This window comes from Homo sapiens, chromosome 3 (assembly GCF_000001405.40).
Source record: "Homo sapiens chromosome 3, GRCh38.p14 Primary Assembly".
In the NCBI taxonomy this organism is placed as follows: Eukaryota; Metazoa; Chordata; class Mammalia; order Primates; family Hominidae; genus Homo; species Homo sapiens.
The window spans coordinates 40,434,072-40,457,074 of record NC_000003.12 but is presented as its reverse complement, the minus strand read 5'-3'; the positions used below and the strand labels follow the sequence as shown (position 1 = coordinate 40,457,074).

Sequence of the window (23,003 nt, the reverse complement as noted above, 5' to 3'; positions counted from 1 at the left end):
AAGCTATGTCTTCCGTTGGTCGCATGCCATTTGAGTTCCTTTTTATTTCCTCGAGTTTTATTTGTTGGTTATTCATGGCTAGGTCTGTTCGCTCCTCACGTTCTCTCCTAATCTCAGTAACTTTGTTAACCTTTCATTTTCAAGTAATTCACAGTTACAGAAATATTGCTAAACTAGTACAAATAATTCCCACAAACCCTTCTAGATTCCACAAATGTTAACGTTTTGCATGTGCTATATCATTTGAAAGGAAATTGCCGACATGATGTCCTTCTATCGCTACATTTTTTTTTTTTTAAAGACGGAGTCTCGGTCTGTTGCCCAGGTTGGAGTGCAGTGGCGGGGGCTTGGCTCACCGCAACCTCCGCCTCCCGGGTTCAAGTGATTCTCCAGCCTCAGCCTCCCAAGTAGCCGGGACTACAGGCGCGCGCCACCATGGCCGGCTAATTTTTTTGCATTTTTAGTAGAGACAGGGTTTCACTATGTTGGCCAGGCTGGTCTCGAACTCCTGACCTCGTGATCTGCCTCCCTCAGCTTCCTAAAGTGCTGGGATTACAGGCGTGAGCCGCCGTGCCTGGCGTTACATTCTTTTATAGAGACAGGGTCTCCCTCAGTCGCTCAGGCTGGAGTGCAGTGGCGCGATCATGGTTCCCTGCAGCCTCTAACTTCTGAGTGAAGACGATCCTCTCGTCTCGGCCTTCCAAAGTGTTGGGATTACCGGCGTGAGCCACCATGCCCAGCCTATCTATACGTTCTTAAAATGTGTATTTCCTAACAACAGAGAGATTCTCTTATGTCATCAGTACACTTATCAAAATCAGGAAATTGATATTGCAATAGTACTATTATCTAACCTTCAGTCCTTATTCAAATTTATAAGTTGTTGCTCCTATGTTCCTTGGAGCAAATGGGAAAAAAAATTGTTTTTCCAGGCTCTTGATCTAATGGAGGATTACAAATTGCAATTATTTATCAGGTCTCTAGTCTTTAACTGATAGTTTTAGATTTAACTGTTAAATTTGTAACATGGGTTTGTTGGAGTTTTCCTCATTGGATTCAGATAGTGAATTTTTGGTAGAAATGCTATGTCCTTGGTGCATCACATCAGAATACATTCTCTCTCTCTTCACTCTCTCTCTCTCTATATATATACGCACACACAAACACTTTTTTTTTTCTTTCTTTTTTTGAGATGGACTCTCCCTCTGTCACCCAGGCTGGAGTGCAGTGGTGCGATCTCGGCTCACTGCCACCTCTGCCTCCCAGGTTCAAGCAGTTCTCTGCCTCCCGGGTTCAAGCAGTTCTCTGCCTCATCCTCCCAAGTACCTGGGATTACAGGTGCCTGCCACCACGCCCGGCTAATTTTTGTGTTTTAAGTAGAGACAGGGTTTCACCATTTTGGCCAGGCTAGTCTTGAACTCCTGACCTTGTGATTCACTTGCCTCAGCCTCCCAGAAGTGCTAGGATTACAAACGTGAGCCACTGTGCTTGGCCACACACATATACATTTTTTCGAAGAGATGGGGTCTGGCTGTGTTGCCCAGGCTGGAGTGCAGTAGCTATTCACAGGTCTGATTGTAGCCTGCTACAGCCTTGAACTCATGGGCTCAAGCAGTTCTGCTTCAGCCTCCAGAATAGTTGGGACTACAGGAATACACCACCACACATGGGTTCCCAATATTGTGGTGGTATTTTATTCTTTAGATTTTTACCCAGGCCAGTGCAGAGAGGTGTTACCTTTTATCACTTGATTAAGGTGATGATCTTTGCCATGACAGTTCCCAGATGTATTTCAAGCCTTTCCTCTAAGCTCTATGCCAGCATATCTTCCCTGAGACTGCTCTAGCAGCCTCCTAAATTCTGTCTTTAATCTGTTCTCTGCTCAGCAGTTAGAGGGATCTTTTAAGTAAGTAAATCAGATCACATTATTTCCTGTTTTTAACAGTTCGATTGCTTTTCATAATATTTGGAATAAAATCTCAACTTCTTACTCTGGCCTTGTATCATATGCTTTAATACCCAGATACACCTTATGCCATCCCTCCTTCATTGTGTTGAAGCCACACTGGTCTTGAATGGGCCAAGCTCTCTCCTCCTCCATGACCTTTATACATGGTGTCTCTCTTGCCAGGAATGGTCTACCCATTGTTAATACTCATCGTGTAGCAGTGCCAACTTATCTCTTGTATTTTTTCCTAGATATTTTTCTGAGAGTTAACCAGGCTACCACATAAAAAAAGGTTAAGTCCCCACCCTTCTTTTTCTAGCTCACCTTGTTTCCCTCAGAGTTATCACAATTGCAATTGTTTGACTTGTTTTGCTGCCCACGTAGGTGTTGTTTCGTTCCAGTTAGAATAAGTTCCATGAGGGCAGGACCTTTGCTGTCTTTTCTGTTTTATTTTCTCACCTTAGTCTGGTAAGGGGCTCAATAAATAGGTAGTGAATGAATCAGTCTTTAGGTCTTGTTGTCTTGCTTTATAATTTACAAAGCAAAAGATATGAATGAAGAAGAATGTTCATTTTAGCATTTTTTTTGCTACTATCTCCAAACTGGAAATTACCCAAAGGCCCATAAACAAGAGACTGGATAAATTGTGATAACAATCTATAGCAACGGAGTCTACAGCAACTACATGGAACAATGCGGATGAATTTCATAAATAACACTAACAAATAAGCTGACACAATATATCCTGTATGCTTTTATTTATATCAAATTCAAAACAGGCAAAACTAATCTACAGTTCTTATAAGTAATGATCATATTTACCTTTGGTGCAGGCAGCAGTGGCTAAAGGGGAAAAGGGGAGCTTCTGAGCTGCTGGCCATGTTGTTTCTTCATCTGGTGTTAACTACGGGAGTGTGTTATTATTTTTGTTTTAAATTTTTTTAGAGACGGGTCTTGCTATGTTGCCCAGGCTGATCTGGTACTCCTGGCCTCAAGCCATTCTCCTGCCTAAGCCTCCCGAGTAGCTGGGATTAGGGGCACGGGCCACCCCGCCTGGCTGAAGTGTTTGCTTGTGAAAATTCAGAGCCCTATCCATATGGTTTATGCGTTTTCTCACCAAATGTATGTTAACCTAAAAAGTTTTTTTTTAATGCAGTTTCCTGGCTGTACAACCAGAGAACTTTATTTGCAGGTCTGGTGAGGGGCAAGAATCTGCATATAAAAACAAGCTCTCAAACACACTTTGAACTTCCCCGAACACAATTTGAGAAACACTTTGGGACTCCCCCTACAGTTACAGAATTATTTTCTAAAGTACATTATCTTGTTATATCACTCCTGTTTAAAGTTGATTTTTATCCCCTATCTTACAGGATATAGTCCAAACTCCCTAGTCTGGCATTCAAGGCACTCCAAAATCTTACTCCCAAACACCTTCCTAGCTTTTTTCTCCGACCATTCTGCGTCTCTCATTCCTATTTCCCGCAGCATTTCATGCAGCTTGAGCCCCCTGTTTCCTAAAATGTGCTCCCCACAAGCATCTCGAGATCCCCATCCCAGGCAGCCCCAGGCAGTTTTTAAGTTTCTACCAAGCTCCACTATACTGGCAAGGCAACTTTCCCCAAGCAAGTCTTGTTTCCTTCGGAAGGTCGCAGGCGCCCAGGAATGAACAGGATAACTGCTAGTGGCTCCAGATGTCAGAAAACAGATGACCAGATCGAGCACGCGCAGATCTCTGGTTGGTCGGCTGTGTGCCTCCGGAAGGCCCGCCCTGCTCGTCCAATCACGGAGAGGGAGGGCACGTTGAGAGTGATGCCAGGAATCAAGATGGCCGCCTGGGACCGCTCTCAGCCCCTTCGGCCTCTACCTGAAGAGCCACGCCCCGTCTGCTACACCCAACTGATTGGTTCCTCAATCACAGAGAGGAAAGGCAACATGAGGATGACGTCAGTTACAAATATGGCGTTTTGGACGGGCTCGATAGTTTGCTTGGCCTCTACTCAAGGTGCGTCCGGACGTCCAATCACCAAGGGGCGCAGTCGGCTCTTAAATGTGGAGGCAGGGGCCTAGACACTCAGGCTTAGGGGATGTCAGCTGGTACTGTGTACGAGCTGTCCTGTAAACCGTCGCCCGTCCCCTGAAGCCGCGCCCCTCTTCTCTTGCTTGTTGCAAGGGACGGATGTGAAGGGCTGGGCGGGCGTCGAGCTTTGGGTTCTTGCAGTGGGTCATAGACCTGAGGGCACTAGTCCCGCGGCCCAGATGGGGGATGCGAGGGACAGTAGGAGCACGTCCACTTGTCCCACAGTCTCTGCGGTGTCACGAGGCCAGGACTGCCTGCCTGTAACCAGATTGGCCCCTGTATTTGTCAGCTTCAGCTGACTAGATATGTCTCAGTTTTGTTTGTTCAGACACTGGCGATGGGGGCGTCAGTTTAGCAGACAAAATATTTACCTGTAGCCCCAAAGAAAAAGAAACATAAGTCAGTACAAGAATCAAACCAAAAGCTGTGCAGAACCCTGACTTTCTTTCTTGTTCTTAATAACTAACCTTCCAGAGAAGTGACCTAACCCTAGTTATGACCAAATTGACATGGTAGCCATGTGCATAACTACCTGGCAACGTGGACAGGTGCATTTGTATTTAGGAGTGAAAAAATGTTTGTTGTATCAGTTTTTGAAATTTGCAATCTTAGGAACCCTGAAGCTGAGCAAGACTGTTCAAGCCCAGTCAGCCTAAGACCACCAGGGACAAACCTGTAGTCAGCAAAACCAGGTCTATCGATCTTTTTTAATGAGGGAGATTGCACACCAGAGACACCATGGGACATTTTACCAGGGGAAGGAAAATATAAAGTTACAGGATTTTGAGGAAGTGTAAAGTTTAGATGGAACTTAAATGAAGCAGGGTTTTAATAGCCTCAAAACAAAGCAGGACTGTGAAAAAGGGTCAACATCAGGCCTAGACTGCAGAGTGGACCCATTGTCCTGTTTTTTTGAAAACCTTTTCTGAAGCTTTGCAACTGGCTGCTTGTAAATTGAAGCTGTATCTCTGTGTTAAAGTGACTTAGGTCCTCCAAGCAAGATATTTTATTCCTACTGATAAAATTTCAAACAGCAAATTTCTGAGGGTCTTTGATTTTAGGAACAAAGTTTCTCAGTGAGAAAGTGAGAAAGCAGTAGTCACTCAAAGAGGGTTATTATGACACTAAAGATTAAGCATGTCCTTGGCAGCAATAGTCTCTTGTTAACTTTGCAGCTGTCTTTATTTGTATTTGTTTTTCCTGCCTGATGAATAACCATGCAGATTTTTCTTCTCAACTGAGCTTGTATTTACTTATTCCTTAGGAATGCTGATGGTATAGCAAGAAGGTATTCTGAGCATTATATCAATGGGGAAGTTCTAGATCTTTTGCAAAGCAGGAGGTAAGCTCACAAACCACAGGTAATGACACACTCTGGAATCAAAAATGTCCATAATGAAGAGGAACATTGGCCTATTACAGAAATCTGAGTGAGAAGCAAATGAAGGTCATCTTAGCAATTCAGTGATTGCCCACTTCCAACTTCCTGTTCCCAAAGAGGCTGATAGACTCTGGAATGGGTCAGGACACTTGGGATGCAGTGCCCAACTCCTCAGTAGTACAAGTTTGTCCAACACTCCAAATGCCTAGATAGGCTTTTGTGTGTGTGTGTGTGTGTGTGTGTGTGTGTGTGTGGTCTGTCCATTGTATTTAACAAACAAGGAGGTAGTGTTGGTTTCTGTACTTTTTTTTTTTTTTTTTGAGATAGAGTCTTGCTGTCACCCAGGCTGGAGTGCAGTCACAGCTCACTGCAGCCTTGACTTGCTGGCTTGAGCCATCCTCCCACCTCAGTCTCACAAGTAGCTGGAACTACAGGCATGTGCCACCATGCCCAGCTAATTTTTGAATTTTCTGTAGAGATGAGGGTTTCATTATGTTGTCCAGGGTGGTCTCAGACTCCTGGACTCAAGTGATCCTCTTGGCCTCTCAAAGTGTTAGGATTACAGACGTGAGCCTCTGCACCGCGCCATGTTTTGTTTTTTGTTTTTTGTTTTTTAACTGTACATATTTCGCATCAGTGGGCTGCAAAGTCAGGAGCTAGAGATCAGCAAGCAAGATCAAGATCTTTGACACTTTTCACAACAACATAAACAATAGGTGGAGTAATTTATGATAATTCAACTCTGGGAAACCAGGGTGAATCACTGGTGTATGCTAGGTGACTAAAACAGTGCCTGGAGTGGAATAGGCCCTTTATAAATATTTTGAGTGAATGAATGAAAAGGCAAAGCCTTAGAACATACTAAATGTCTATCAAAAGAGGTCTGCTTAAATAAACCTGCCTGCAGAACTGCTGAAAAGCACCAGCTAGCTATACTGATCGAGAATGCTTTCCAGGATAGGAATGGAAAGTTCTGTGTGTGTTGGAGTCTTAACAACACTAGAAATAGAACCAGGGTGCAAAGAGCTTTCTGAGAGGCCTGCTAAGTAGGTGAAAAGCTCCTGTGTCACCATGGAAACAACTCTCCCCAAAAGGAATGACTACAAGGACAGGTGCTGGATAATGCAGCATAGTGAACATAGTGGTGAACAAGGATGCAGAATGAGTGACAGGGCATTCAGGGAGAAGAGATGCTAACGTGGTGCCATCTAGAAGGAATGAGCATGTATTAATTCATTTAGCAAACACTAAATGCCTCGTGTGTGCCAGAAACTATTCAAGGCATTGAAGACATAGTAGTGAATAAAACAGGCAAAAGTTCTACTCTCATGGAACTGTCATTCTAGTGGGTAGATACAGAAAATAAACAAATAGTGTGTCATATGGTGGTAAGTGCCACAGAAAAATAAAAAGGAGGATGGAGAGTACTAGGGTGGATTTGCTTTAGGGGGAAAGGGTAGTTATTTTAAATAGGGAAGTGAGGGAAGGCCTTGAGGAAAAAGTGACACTTGAATAGAGAACTTCAGGAGATGAGTGAGCAATTCATGTGGATGTCTGGGATTCCAGGCAGAGGGAACAGCAAGTTCTCTCTCAGCATGCGTGTGGAAGAGCAGGAAGACCAATGAGGCTGAAGTGGGGTGATTGAGGGAGAGATAGTATAAGATGAAGGAGCCAGGGCATGTGGAACCTTGGAAGCCACTGGAAGGACTTGCTTTCACTCTCAAGATAGGAGCCAGTGGATGCTTTAAATGGAGCAGTGACATGATCTGACATGTTTTTAAAGATGGTACAGGCTGTTGGGTTAAGAATGCCCTCCTCATCATAGACAGTAGGAGGCAAGGTTGCAGCTGGAGACAAGTTGGATGGGTGTTACATCTTGGCTTTTTTTTTTTTTAAAGGATTACATGAGTTAACATTCATTAAAGGCAGTAGTAATATGTTAAAAGGACAATGTTGGGCCTGAAAACCTGTGTTTTGTATGTCTCCATACCAGCAGGGACACTGTCTCAGAGGTCACTGTGGTGCTAATAAATATTCAGAACCCAAGTTGTACCAAATATTTACCATGGGAAGCAGTACTAGGGCTTAAATTTCTCTTGGCATAGATCCTGGATCAAAAATGTTTCTATTATTAAGAATTTCCACATATACAAAAATAGAATAGTATGTATAATAAACTCCCATGTACACATTACACTTTCTCAAAAATTATCCACACAGGGCCAATCTTATTTCATTTCTACTCATTTACTACTCTGTCTTCTGTTTTATTTTAAAAGCCAATTCAAGAAATTTTAGCCATAAATACCTCAATATGTATCTAAACGATGATTTCTTTAAAATAAATATAACCCCAATAGTATTATCACACCTGAAAATTAACAAAAATTCCCTAATATCTTCAAGTATTTATTCCAGTTTTGGAGGGGTTCTTGCGCCTTTGTCCATATTTTCTGAGAGCCTGTAGTTGATCAAAAGCCTTCCAAGAGACAACATCAGTTTTGGGAAGACCAGTATTTAAATTTTTATCAAGTGACTCCAGAATTGTGGCTGAGAACCAGTCACACACACACACTCACATAGAACATTTGTGTAGCTAGTCCTTATAGCACTTCTAACAAACACTAGGCACCATTCTGAGTGCCTTACAAATATTAAATTGTTTAATCCTTGCAAAAGCCCAAGATGTAACCTCTAGAATAGAGGTGATATTATTATCCTTACGTTGCAGGTGAGGAAACGGATAGGGAGGCTAAATAACTTGTGCCCCCTCAGATGGCTAGTCAGTGCATGGTTCAGACCCAGAGTCCATACTCTTAACCGTGCAGAATCCATTGAGGGTGTAAAGTTGTTAGGTGGATCCAATTAGATTGAGGAAATTAGCAGCGATCCTAGTCGAGGAATAAAATTGCATCTACTCAAACCTGAGTTGAAAGAAGTTATGATAAAAATTAAAGAGAACTTGAAGGACAGCTCAAGGACTTGTGATATACTTAGTTGTCAGATCATGATCTCAAACTTTTTTTATTTTTAATTTTATTTTTAATTTTTTTGTATTTTTAATTTTCATGGCTACATAGCAGGTGTATATATTTGTGGGGTACATGAGATATTTCGGTACAGGCATGTAATGCGTAATAATCATGTCATGGAAAATCGGGTATCCATCTCCTTAAGCATTTATCCTTTGTGTTACAAACAACCCAATTATAGTCTTAGGTTTTTTGTTTGTTTGTTTGTTTTTTGAGACGGAGTCTCGCTCTGTTGCCCAGGCTGGAGTGCAGTGGCACAATCTCAGCTCACTGCAAGCTCCGCTTCCCGGGTTCAAGTCATTCTCCTGCCTCAGCCTCCCGAGTAGCTGGGACTACAGGCGCTTGCAACCATGCCCAGCTAATTTTTTGTATTTTTAGTAGAGATGGGTTTTCACTGTGTTAGCCAGGATGGTCTCGATCTCCTGACCTCGTGATCCGCCCACCTCAGCCTCCCAAAGTGCTGGGATTACAGGCATGAGCCACCGCGCCCGGCCTCTTTTAGGTATTTTTAAGTGTACAATTAAATTATTGACTATAGTCCCATTGTTGTGCTATCAAATACTAGTCTTAGTCATTCTTTCTAAATTTCTTGTGTATGCGTTCACCATCCCCACCTCCCCCCACCACACCACTCACTACCCTTCCCAGCCTCTGGTAACCATCTTCTATTCTCTATCCCTATGAGTTCAATTGTTTTGACTTTTAGATCTCACAAGTAAGTGAGAACATGTGATGTTTGTCTTTCTGTACCTGGCTTATTTTCACTTAACGTGATGATCTCCAGTTCCATCCATGCTATTGCAAATGACAGAATCTCATTCTTTTGATGGCTGAATAGCAGTCTATTGTGTATAAGTACCACATTTTCTTTATCCATTCATCTGTTGGTGATCTCAAACTTAACATACCAACATAGAGCTCCTGATCTTCAGCAACCCCTCCCTATTAATCCACTAAACCTTACTGTTTAGTTTTCTCCATCTGTGTCAATGGCAACTCCATCCTTCCAGTTGTTCAGAGCAGATACCCTGAAGTCACCCTCAATCCTTCGCTTTTTTTTTTGTTTGTTTTTTTGTTTGTTTGTTTGTTTGTTTTTTTGAGACGTAGTCTCTCTCCATCACCCAGGCTGGAGTGCAATGGTGCGATCTTGGCTCACTGCAACCTCTGCCTCCTGGGTTCAAGTGATTCTCCTGCCTCAGCCTCCCGAGTAGCTGGGATTACAGGCGCCCGCCACCTCACCTGGCTAATTTTTTTGTATTTTTAGTAGAGATGGGGTTTCACTGTGTTGGCCAGGCTGGTTTTGAACTCCTGACCTCAAGTGATCCTCCACCTTGGCCTCCCAAAGTGATAGGATTACAGGTGTGAGACACCTTGCCCAGCTGATGTTTCACTTTCACACCCCATATCCAGTCAGACAAAAAATCTTGTTGGCTCTACCTTTAAAATTTTATTAAGAACCTGACTACTCTCCTCCTCTGTTATAATAAACCTTGTGCAAGCCACCACTATCTCTTGTTTGGATAACTGCAGTAGCCTCTGTGGTGGACACTTCTAAAATGGCCCCCAGTGATTTCTGCCTTCTGGTATTCACACCTTTGCATAATCCCTTCCCTTTCAGAAACAGCTGGACTTAGTGACTTTCTTCTAAGGCATAGACTATGACAAAAGTTGTGGGATGTACTTCTGAGATTAGAGTATAAAAGACTGTGACACCTCTGTTTGTCTCTCTGTTTTTCTTTCTCTTTCTCTGCCTCCCTCTCTTTTCTGTTTGCTTGCTGTGATGAAGCAAGCTGCCCTGTTGTGAGCTCTCCGGTGGAGAGCCCCACATGGCAAGAAAATGAGAAGCCCCCTGAACAGACAAGAGCTGAGGCCCAGGATACAATATCCTGAAAAAAACTGAATCCTGCTGACAGTTGCCCAAGTGAAGCTGGAAGTGGATCTTTCTGCAGTGGATCCTTGAGATGACTGTAGCCCTGGCTGACAACTTGATTGCTGCCTGTGAAGGACCCTGAACCAGAGGACTCAGCGAAATTGTGCCCAGATTCCTGACCTACAGAGGCAGTGAGATAATAAATGCTGTTGAGGTCACAAAGTTTTGAGGTATTTGTTAATACAGCAATGGATACTTAATACAGCTTCCTACATGGTCTCCCTCCTTCGACCTTTACACTACAATCTGTCGTCCACACAGCAGTCAGAGATCCTTTTAAAACATAAGTCAGATCATCATGACACTCACCTCCCTGCTAAGTGTCCTGCAAGGCCTTTCACGGTCTGATCCCCTATCCTTTCTCTTTCCTCATCTCCTATCACTCTTGCCCTTGCAAATTTTCTTCCAGCACTCTGGCCTCCTTGCTGTTCTTCAGTATGGCAAGCAACCTGCTGCCCGGAGCCCACACACTGACTGTCCCCTCTCCTAGGACACTCTTCCCTCAAGGGCTCCCATATCTTGCCTGCTGGCTCCTGCATCTTCTTCAAGTCTGCTCAAATGTCACCTTCTCAGTGAGGCCCATCCTGGCTATCCTCTTTCAGTTCTGACAGAAAATAATTTATTGCTTTATTACATCATTATTTTGTTGTCTTCCCTCCGTCTGTTCCTACTAAAATTTAATCTCTGAGAAAGCAGAAAACGTTGTCTTGTTCTTTCCTGTAACCCAAGTGCCTTGAACATTGCCTCATTAATTGCTTGCGCTCAGTAATATGTGTTGAATAAATGGGTTAAGTAGTTTATTAATTGTGAAACTAAATCCTGTCTGAAAGGTTTGGAGCAGCTTGTTGAAATAGCAAATGGAGATTCTGTGTTTTAAGTTGTGGCTAAGGTAGAATCATCCATGATGTATGTGGAGCCAGCTCCTGTGTCCTGGACTTAAACATCTGTATCTGACGTGTGGGTAATTATATTGCTATCCTACACCTTTGACCCATTCATCTCGGCTCACCTGTGATCCAGGCTATGCTACTAAAGTTGGGTGAGAGAGTCTGCAACACAAGGAAAACATAGAGCCATCATTTAGTAAATCAAACCCATAATAATACATTTTGTTGTTAAATGTAGCCAATCTCTGAGTATTTTTTATTAAAGTATCTCTAATGTTTAAAAACATCTAACACATTCATCATGTTTCAACTGTCCTCAGCCCCTGCTTGGCTTCCCTCCTGTATGTGTCAGTGCCCAAAGTCCGGAAGGGGCCAAGGTGGCAGGGGTCTGGCGTGTCAGTGCCAACCTCAGTGTGTGCCCACCTGGCTGGGCTGTGACAGTGCCCGGGTTCGGCCCCAACCTTGCTTCATGATTGGAGCGGGCACTGGGAGCAGGGAGAGGCCAGGCAGTGGGAGCAGACACTTCGCAGGGGGGCCTTCCTGGGCCCCCAAGAGCACAGAGATGCCTGGGTTTGCAGCCGGGCCTGGGCAGCTGCAGTGGCACCTGGGGAGGGCAGGGCTTCTGCCTGTTCCATGGAGTGTACAACCCCAGCCGTGCCTCCCTGCTGCAGCCGATGTCTTGGCAGTGGCCACTCTAGATGGGTCACTGCTGCCACCAATATGACATTAATGAAGTAGACTTAAAGTTTTCAGGGGATTTAATTAATCATGATTTTAAGTGGTGCTAATGTTTCTGGAAATTTAATCTCTTAGACTTGACTTATTTGAACATTCATCATAGAGCAAGCTAAAGTTATTGTTTCTAATTTACATAAAAATTACTACCTATAAAACAGAATAATAACTTTACAAGTTGAAATAAAAGGTTTAAGAAAATCTAGGTTTTTAAACATAAGACTTTAAAAATTAAATATTATTTTAATGGCTAGTAACTGTTGATAGTCCATTTGTGCACAACAACCCCCCTTGGGCATTTGAAAATAAAAATCTCTACTGACCATTTTGAAAGAATGAGTTTGAGGATACATCCACAGGTTGGAGCTTCAGCATGAGCAGGACATGGAGAGCCCAGGAAACTTGAGCGAAATCATAGGGTCACATCTGAAGAAGAAGTTGATTACATTCAATTCTGGTCACCTGGCCCATTAGTGGTGGCATCAGACCCAGAAGAGGCATCTGGAGGGGAGTTAGTGTGCATCAATTTTAGCAATGAGTTATAGAGTCTCTCAATAACTGTGGCTTAAACATTTATTTTCCTCTTTTGTGGGGGTCCTGAGCTGGCCTGGTCCCTCAGCTCAGGGACCCAGCTTACTCTCCCTACATCCCTAACATCCATGAGGTGGCTCTTATTCTCATTACTTCAGGCCTACAGATCCTGCCCTTACACTTTGCAGCAGGATAAAGGAAAAGGGCAAAAGATGGGTGTCCACTGTTCTCTCAGGAAGAGTCTTGGTTGCCATATCAGGACACTTCTGCTTCCTTTCCGTTGGCCAGAACTCAGCCTCATTACCAAACCTACAAGCAATGCTGGGAAATTGAGTCTCCACTTCTGGTGGCTATGAGCCTTGCTAAAAATCAGATATTCTAGAACTATTACTATGGAAAAAAGCAAAAGTAAATATCAGGAAATGGGTACTTACTACTTACACATGTTATGTGGGCAGCAGCAAGCTATAGGATGTGAAATTTTAAATCTTAAGACTTTATATGGAAATGGCACAGTTGAAATAGGATGGAAATGATAGTCATAAGTAGTCACTGAAATCTATACAGGAAAACATAGGCTTGTTCCTGCAATGTCACAAAACACCAGCTGGGGATTTTGTTCAAAACCCCAAAAATGTCATTTTAGGGCAGATAAGTGTTCTTTTAGAAACAGCATTTTAGAAACAATCAAAAAACCGCCAAACTGAGGAACAAATTAGCCTATGAGGAGGTATACATGGAAAGTATAAATTGGGTCTAAACCTTTTTCTCTCTTTCTGTTTCTTTCTTTGTTTCTTTGTTTGTTCTTTCTTTCTTTCTTTCTTTTCCTTTCTTTCCTTTTCTTTCTTTCTCTTTCTTTCTTTCCTTCCTTCCTTCCTTCCTTCCTTCCTTCCTTCCTTCCTTTCCTTTCCTTTCCTTTCTTTCTTTCTTTCTTCCTTTCTTTTCTTGCGATTTTCCTGCCTCAGCCTCCCGAGTAGCTGCTATTACGGGGGCCTGCCACCATGCCTGGCTAATTTTTTTTTTTTTTTTTGTATTTTTTAGTTGAGACAGGGTTTCAGTACGTTGGCCAGGCTGGTCTCGAACTCCTGACCTTGTGATCCGCCTGCCTCGGCCTCCCAAAGTGCTGGGATTAGAGACATGAGCCACCATGCCCGGCCCTAAAACTTTTTCATATGCATACATATTTTTTGAGATGGAGTCTCACTCTGTCACCCAGGCTGGAGTGCAGTGGCACAGTCTTGGCTCGCTGCAACCTCTGCCTCCTGGGTTCAAGCGATTCTCCTGCTGGGATTACAGGCGTGCACCACCATGCTTGGGTAGTTTTTGCATTTTTAGTAGAGTCGGGGTTTCACCATGTTGGCTAGGCTGGTCTCAAACTCCTGACCTCAAGTGATCTGCCCACCTCAGCCTCCCAAAGTGCTGGGATTACAGGCATGAGCCACTGCACCCAGCCAAGTATCTTTTTTTTTCTTTTTCTCTTCTTTTCTTTTTTTCTGATGGAGTCTCACTCTGTTGCCCAGGCTGGAGTACAGTGGCTTGATCTCAGTTCACTGCAACCTCCCCCTCCCAGGTTCAAGCGATGCCCCTGCCTCAGCCTCCCAAGTAACTGGGATTACAGGAAGCCACCACCACCCCAGCTAATTTTTGGATTTTTAGTAGAGTCTGGGTTTTGCCATGTTGGCCAGGCTGATCTTGAGCTCCTGACCTCAGGTGATCTGCCCGTCTTGACCTCCCAAAGTGCTGGGATTACAGGCGTGAGCCACCGTGCTCCGCCTAAAGCTTTTTCATAATTTAATCAATGGCATATTCCTAGGAGAAACCATAAAACGTTAAAATAAACTGCTTTGCTTACACAGAAAACAGCCTTCTTGTATAAAATCCTGGGCTGGAAGTTCTTGTCAACAGGTTACCCTTCTATTTTTTATTTTTTATTTTTTTTTGAGACAGAGGCTCACTCTGTCACCAGGCTGGAGTGCAGTGGCATGATCTCAGCTCACTGCAACCTCCACCTCCCAGGCTCAAGGTATCCTCCCACCTCAGCCTCACAAGTAGCTGGGACTACAGGTACAGCCACCATGCCTGGCTAATTTTTTTGGGGGTATTTTTTTGTAGAGACGAGGTCTTGCCATGTTGCCTAGGCTGGTTTCAAATTCCTGGGCTCAAGCAATCTGCCTGCCTAAGCCTCCCAAAGTGCTAAGATTACAGGCATGAACCACTTCGTAACCACCATCCAGACCAAAATACAGAACATTTCTGTGGCCGAATTAAGTTCCCTCTTTCTTCTTAACTTCATTTCCTGGAGTCTACCACTATTGTGCCTCTATATCACCATAGATTCCTCTTGTTTATTCTTGGCCTTCATATAAATTGTATCATACAGTATGTATTCTTTTGGGTCTGATTTTTTCAGCTCAACATTATGTCTGTGAGAGTCATCCATGTTATTCTAGGTATTAGGAGTTCAATCCTTTTTATTGCTCAGTAGTATTCCATTGCATGAGTGTAACACAATTTTTTTTTTTTTGAGATGGGTTCTCACTCTGTCCTCCAGGCTGGAGTGCAGTGGTGCAATCATGGATCACTACAGCCTCGACCTCCTGGGCTCCAAGTAACCCTCCTGCCTCAGCCTTCCAAGGAGCTGGGACTACAGGCACACATCACCACACCTGGCCATTTTTTTTTTTTTTTTTGGTAGAGCGGGGGTCTCACTAGGTTGCCTCCCCAAGTGCTGGGATTACAGATATGAGCCACCACGCATGGCCCAGATGTAAAGTTCTATCAACTTCATCATCATCTTTTTTTTTTAATTATACTTTAAGTTCTAGGGTACATGTGCACAACGTGTAGGTTTATTACATATGTATACATGTGCCATGTTGGTGTGCTACACCCATTAACTCGTCATTTACATTAGGTATATCTCCTAATGCTATCCCTCCCCACTCCCCCCACCCCACAACAGGCCCCGGTGTGTGATGTTCCCCTTCCTGTGTCCAAGTGTTCTCATTGTTCAATTCCCACCTATGAGTGAGAACACGCGGTGTCTGGTTTTCTGTCCTTGCGATAGTTTGCTGAGAATGATGGTTTCCAGCTTCATCCATATCCCTACAAAGGACATGAACTCATCCTTTTTATGGCTGCATAGTATTCCATAGTGTATATGTGCCACATTTTCTTAATCCAGTCCATCATTGATGGACATTTGGGTTGGTTCCAAGTCTTTGGCTATTGTGAATAGTGCCACAATAAACATACGTGTGCATGTGTTTTTATAGCAGCATGATTTATAATCCTTTGGGTATATACCCAGTAATGGGATGGCTGGGTTAAATGGTATTTCTAGTTCTAGATCCTTGAGGAATTGCCACACTGTCTTCCACAATGGTTGAACTAGTTTGCAGTCCCACCAACAGTGTAAAAGTGTTCCTATTTCTCCACATCCTCTCCAGCACCTGTTGTTTCCTGACTTTTTAATGATCGCCATTGTAACTGGTGTGAAATAGTATCTCATTGTGGTTTTGATTTGCATTTGTCTGATGGCCAGTGATGATGAGCATTTTTTCATGTGTCTATTGGCTATTTCCTTTAGAGGCTACTGAGTCACTTCATTCTGGCTGGTCCCCTCTACACCTTCATCACCATCCTGGAGATTTCCTTCCCATTTTCTCCCATATTGGATCTCCTTTTTTTCTGGAGTCGATGCCTTTTGTTTCCTTGGTTTAGTCTCTTCTTTTGGTGGAACACACCTTCCAGTTAGCTCCCTGTAAAAGGAAGCTGTCAGAAAATGTCTCTCTTCTATTCTCATACCTAATTGATCATTTTTGGCTGGATACAGAACTCTAGCTCAAACATGATTTTCCCTCAGAATTTTGAAGGCATTACTCCATTGGCTTCTTGCTTCCAGAGTTATTGTTGAGAAAACTAAATCCATTCTCATCTTGATCATTTGTATGTGGCCTGTTTTTTTTTTCTCCCTCTCTGAAAGTTTATAAGGGGTATTCTTTTTCTTTTTAATGTTCTGAACTTTTATAGCATTGTACATTGGTGTAAAGTAATTTTTATTTATTGGGCTGGGCCCTTTCAATCATGTCCATATCCTTCTGGTCAGGGTAAAATTTTCCATGTATTTCATGGGTGATTCTTCTTTTTGAAACTTGTGTTATTCAGATGGGGGTTTTGGTGGGCTAGTCTTAGAATTTTGTCTTCTTACTCTTTTTCCCATTTCTTTGTGTTTTTTCTTTCCTTTCTGAGGGTTTGCCTCAATGCTATCTTTCAACCCTTCTAGCGAGTTCTTAATGTCTGCTATCATGTTTTAAATTTCCAAGAACTGTTTCTTTGTTCTGAATATCTCATCTTTCCTTTAAAAAAAATTGTTTCTGAGCTAGATGTGGTGGGGTGTGCCTGTAGTTCCAGCTACTTGGGAGGCTGAAGTGGGAGGCTTGGGCCCAGGTTTTCAAGGCCAGCATGAGCAACATAGCAAGATCCTGTCTTAAAAAAAAAAAAAAAGAAAAAGAAAAAAATTGTTTCTATTTCATTGATGCAGTGTCCCTTATTTTTCTTATAATATTAATGAGTTTCTTTTTTTTGTTTAAAATATTTTTTTCCTTGCATAGTTTCTGTTTCTGCCAATTCATTTTTTCTTTTAGTTTGTTAGGCTCTTTATCCATATAATCTAGCTAATGGGTTTTGGCAGGCTAATGAATATATAAATTTGGAGTCAAGGGAAGAGGTTGGAGAATAAAAATTTTATCCAACTCAGAGAGCTGTTATAAAAATTAAGTGATGTAATGCATATAATTTGCTTAGCACAGGTCTGGAATATAGTAAGCATTCAAATGTTAGATGTTATTTTTTATTTTATTATTTAATGGCTGCATCATACTCTTTTAGCATAGCATATAGATGAACATAATTCACCTCGCCATTCCTCTACTGCTATTGAAGATCGGGCTTACTTTTTCACTTTTTACTATTATATAAATAGGGATTGGTATTTTTCTGAAAGCAGCTTTAGTCACATATTTTTAAACTTTCATTATGTAATATATATTTTTTTGAGACAGGATTTTGATCTGTTACCCAGGCTGGAGCACAGTGGCACGATCATAGCTTACTGCAGCCTTGACTTCCCAGGCTCAATCTGTTCTCCTTCCTCAGCCTTCTGGTTAAGCTGGGACTACAGGCACGTGACCCACACCCAACTAATTAATTTTTTTTTTTTTTTTTTTTTTTTTTTTGTAGAGGTAGGGTTTCTTTATGTTGCCTAGGCTGGTCTCAAACTCCTGAGCTCAAGCAATTCTCCTGTCTTGGCCTTCCAAAGTACTGGTATTACAGGTGTGAGTTACCGTGCCCAGACTCATTATGGAATTTTCAATCATGTACAAAAGTAAAGAAAATGGTATAATAAACTCCTGCATACCCATTATTTAGTTTCAACAATAGCCATTTTTGGTCAAGTATCCAAAGATGTTCATGTTTAATGGGCCATCTTGTTTTATCTATAGTATATGGATTCTATACCAGTGCTGTCTAATAAAAATATAATGTAAACTACAAAGGAAAACCATGTTTGTAATTTAAAACCTAACTTAATGTAACCTAAAATGTTCTAGTAGCTACATTTGAAAAATATGAAAGAAAGAAGTGAAATTTATTTATTTATTTATTTAAGACAGGGTCTTACTCTATTGCCCAGGCTGGAGTGTAGTGGTGCAATCATAGTTTGTTGAAGCATCAAATTCCTGGACTCAACCGATCTTCCAGCCTCAGCCTCATGAGTAGCTAGGACTATAGGCATGTGCCAACAGGCCTGCTAATTTTTAAAGTTTTTGTACAGACAGAGTCTCCCTGTGTTGCCCAAGCTGGTCTGGAACTCCTGGCCTTAAGTGATCCTCCCATCTCACCTCAGCCTCCCAAAGTGCTGAGATTATAAGTGTGAGCCATTGTGCCTGGCCTGTGAAATTAATTTTAATAATACATTTTATTTTACTCAATGTATCCAAAATATTGTTTTAATATATAACCAGTTTCCAAGTTATTAATGACATATTTTAATTTTTTTGGTACTAAGTCTTCAAAATCTAGTGTGTACTTTACATTCATTGCATATCTCAACTGGACTAGCTCAATAGCCATATGTGCCTAGTGGCTCCCCTATGAGAAAATGTGAATATGCTCACCAAACAGGATTAATGTGAAGCAGATCCCAGACATTATATCAGTGTATCCATAAATATTTCAATATGTATCTGTAATAACAATGTCCGTATTTTTAAAAAAGGTTTCCTTAGAATTAATTTTTAGAAATACGGTTGTTGGATTGAGGAATGTGCACTTTTAAAATCTTGCAGCATATTATAGCTACTTTTTCGGAACGTTAGATTAATTTACACTCCTTTCTGGAGTGTGTGATGGAGCCCATGTCACCCTCATAGAGTGTATTTGGATCCCTGACCATGGTTCTGAAATCTACAGAAAGGCAGTAAGACTTCCTCTCTGTTGTGAGAGGTCAAATTTTGTTTTGTTTTGTTTTAATGGCTTAAAACAAGTTTTATTCTCTTACAGTTCTAAAGGTCAGAAGTCTGAATTCAGTTTTACTGGGCTAAAGTCAACGTTTTGGCTTTTAGAGGTTCCTTTTGGAGACTCTGAGGGGATAATTTGTTTCCTTGCTTTTTCAGCTTCTCATGGCCACCTATGTTCCTTGACTTGCCCCTTCCTCCATCTTTCAAGTGCATCATCCCAATCTTTACTTGTATTCATCACACCGCCTTTTCATCTGTGAGAAGTCAAGTTCTAGTGATGATTCAGAGGTGACTTTTAAGCAGATAAGAGCAAAGGGACACAAGCAGGAACCTGCCAGACATAGTGGTGTGTACATGTAGTCCCAGCTACTTGGGAGGCTGAGAAGGAAGGATTGCATGAGCCCAGGGGTTCAAGTCCAGCCTCAGCAACATAGACCCCATCTCTAAAATAAATGAATAAATAAATAAATAAAATAAAATAAAATAAAAACATGGGCTTCTTGGAACTCTACTTTTATTTAGAAAAGAAGAAAGCAGATGACAGAAGATAGAGGGAGGTAACAATAACAAGAGAGACAGACTTCTGGGTAAAAATGGCTGATAAAACACAAACTGATATCTAAGTGCATATCTTCCTGATGCCTGACTAGAACAACAGTGGGGGCTGTCCTTAAATACTTGCCTTGTTTTCTTTCTTTCTTTTCTTTTCTTTTCTTTTCTTTCTTTTTCTTTTTCTTTTCTTTTCTTTTTTTTTTGAGATGGAGTCTCCCTCTGTTGCCCAGGCTCGAGTGCAGTGGCACAATCTCGGCTCACTGCAACCTCCGCCTCCTGGATTCAAGCGATTCTCCTGCCTCAGCCTTCCGAGAAGTTGGGATTATAGGCACCTGCCATCCTGCCCAGCTAATTATTGTATTTTTAGTAGAGATGAAATTTCACCATGTTGGTCAGGCTGGTCTCGAACTGCTGAGCTCAGGTGATCCACCCGCCTTGGCCTCCCAAAATGCTGGGATTACAGGCATGAGCGAGCCACCACTCCTGGCACCTCGTTTGTTTTCTGTTTAAGGTGAGGGGATAAAAAGCTGATTGGAAGTTTTGAGTTATTGATTCAAGCTTCACTGTAGGATAATCTGACTAGCAAACTGCAAATGCCAGCACATTTGTGTCCTTTCTCCTGGACTTCTTGGATTCCTCACAAAAGAATCTTCCAAAGTCCTGACTAGAGGGTAGAGTTAACCTAGAACCTGGGAGTTGATGGGGTTAGAGGCTTGGAGTCTAAACACTGAATATGCCTTGGTTTCCTTAATCTTGTTGTTTTGGTATGACACCTCCACCTGTAACTGTGCCTTGTGCCTTCCAGTTCCTGTGCTTGGGTTAGGAAGAGGCAGTCACTCATCAGCAAAGAGTAGAAGGTATCTAGGAACCACTATTCTTTTTTTTTTTTTCTTTTCGAGAAGGAGTCTTGCTCTGTCGCCCAGGCTGGAGTGCAGTGGTGCAATCTCGGTTCACTGCAACCTCTGCCTCCCGCGTTCAAGCGATTCTCCTGCCTCAGCTGCCTCAGTCTCCTTAGTATCTGGGATGACAGGTGCTCTACCACACCTGGCTAATTTTTGTATTTTTAGTAGAGACAGAGTTTCACCATGTTGGCCAGGCTGGTCTTGAACTCCTGACCTCATGATCCACCCGCCTCAGCCTCCCAAAGTGCTGGGATTACAGGCATGAGCCACTGCACCTGGCCAGAATCACTATTCTTAAACAGCTTTAATTATCTTTATTTTGTGCTTGCCAACCCAACTTGCAGCTGTACTTGATGCCACAGATTCCTGAGCTTTTTGAGAACACTGCTGTTTACATTGGTTGATTTTTTATTTTCTCATTGTTTTAGGATTGTGCTTTCTTGGGTCTGCTAAGTCAGTTACCCCTGGTCCACCATGCCAAAATGTTTTTGTTGTTTTCTTTTCTTCTTTTCTCTCCATGCTTATGGATATGTGCTGGTATAAACAGTTTTTGTTTTTTTAAGAAAATAGTCTGGATCTTAACCTTCCTCTTACTAAACCCTCTCTCCCTGCTATATTCACATGTCATTTAATAGCAACTCTATCCTTTCAGTCACTCAGGCAAAAATATTGGAATAACTTTTAACCCCTCTTTTTCTCTCTCACTCCATGTACATTCATCAGCAAACACTGTGGGCTCTACTTTCACATATATCCGGGGTCTGACCATTGCTCACAGCCTCTACTGCTACCAACCTGATCCAAGCCATCAGCATTTCTCATCTGGATTATTAAAATCACCCACCAACTGGTTTTCCTGTTTCTGCTCTTGTCTCCTTTGTTTTTTATCACTGTAACTAGAAACAGAAGCCAGATACCCCTCCTTTGTTCAGAACTCTAAATGGGGCCCCCTTGCACCATCTACTCCGTCTTAACTCCCTTACCCTATCTCCTCCATCTTCCAGTCATTTATTCTGCTCCAATCACAATGGCCTTTGTATTTGTGGTCTCTTTTGCTTAGAATGCTCTTCCTCCAGATATTCAAATGGCCGACTCCTTCACATTTTCCAAGTGTTCGTTCAGACGTCACCTTATCTGAAAAGACTTTTCTGACCTAATGGCGTCCCCATCTCATGCTCCTGGCACTTTCCTTTCCCCTTACTTTTCTTTATATTTCTCCAGATCACTTATAATCCCCTGTACAGTGTGTATTTAGTTGGTTAGTGTCTGTCTCCCCCACTAGAACGTTGGCTCCCTGAAGGCAAGGACTTTGTCTACATTGTTAATTGGTGGAGTTATGCCACCTACACAGGATCTTACTCAGAGGATGAATTCAATCAATATTAGTTGAATGAACAAATGAACAAGCAGTTGAATTGAATGGCTGTATTAAAGGAAACTGAGGCATAGAAAACTTAAGATTTTTAGACAAAGATCACACAACAATGAACAGCAGAACTAGGATGTGTGAACCAGGTTTTTGTGATGTGAAAGCCTGAGTTCTTAATCATTTTGTTTGATATTTGGGAATAATTTTTAATGAGATCTGAAAATGCTAATGGTATAATGCTGTGAACGAAGGAAATATAAAATTGTAATTCCAGCATGATCTTAACTATGTACAAATATGTAGAGAAAAAGATTCAGAAAGAAAAATATCAAATATACAGCAGTGAGATTCTGCGTGTTTATATATATATATATATATATATATATTTTTTTTTTTTTTTTTTTTTTTTTTTTTTTGAGACAGTTTCATTCTTGTTGCCCAGGCTGGAGTGCAATGGCATGATCTCAGCTCACCACAACCTCCGCCTTCCGGGTTCAAGCAGTTCTCCTGCCTCAACCTCCCAAGTAGCTGGGATTACAGGCATGCACCACGATGCCCAGCTAATTTTGTATTTTTAGTAGAGACAGGGTTTCTCCAGGTTGGTCAGGCTGGTCTCGAACTCCTGACCTCAGGTGATCTGCCCGCCTCAGCCTCCCAAAGTGCTGGGATTATAGGCGTGAGCCTCCATGCCTGGCCTCAAAATATGTATTTTAACTTTTATTTAGAAAATTGTAAACATACACAAAGCAGATAGAATACTATAATAAACTCCTATGTCTCATCACCCCAACCTCAAGGACCATCAAAGTATGGGCCAGTTCTACCCCTACATTCTCCCTCCCCTGTAATTTTGAATCAATTCACAGATGTGGTGGTCAATTTTATGTGTCAACTTGGCTAGACTATAGCACCCAGTTATTTGTTAATCTAGGTGTAGCTGTGAAAGTATTTTGTGGGTGTGATTACTGCCCATAATTAGTAGATTTTTAAGGGGACTTATCCTAGATAATCTGGGTGAGCCTGATTAAATCAGTTGAAAATCCATAAGAGCAGAACTGGGACTTCTCTGAGAAGGAAGAAATTCTATCTGTGGACTGTAGCTTTAGTTCATGCCTGAGGGTTCCAGCCTGCTCTT

The 23,003-nt window shown here is 42.1% G+C and overlaps 1 long non-coding RNA gene across 1 annotated transcript in view, besides 2 other annotated features; it reads left to right on the top strand.

Annotated features, from left to right (window-relative positions):
• Nucleotides 3,767–23,003, top strand: part of ENTPD3-AS1 (ENTPD3, EIF1B and MYRIP antisense RNA 1) — a 62,358-nt gene continuing 43,121 nt past the window's right edge. The window contains exons 1-2 of the long non-coding RNA NR_040100.1: nucleotides 3,767–3,953; nucleotides 5,293–5,370. This is a non-coding gene — a long non-coding RNA (ENTPD3, EIF1B and MYRIP antisense RNA 1). The remainder of the gene's footprint in view (nucleotides 3,954–5,292; nucleotides 5,371–23,003) is intronic.
• Nucleotides 3,874–3,943: an enhancer, noted in NCBI's record as "active region_19717". NCBI's record gives its function as "activates an Ori minimal core promoter by ATAC-STARR-seq in GM12878 lymphoblastoid cells {active_cell/tissue: GM12878}" and the evidence as "EXISTENCE:reporter gene assay evidence [ECO:0000049][PMID:35858748]".
• Nucleotides 3,964–4,033: an enhancer, noted in NCBI's record as "active region_19716". NCBI's record gives its function as "activates an Ori minimal core promoter by ATAC-STARR-seq in GM12878 lymphoblastoid cells {active_cell/tissue: GM12878}" and the evidence as "EXISTENCE:reporter gene assay evidence [ECO:0000049][PMID:35858748]".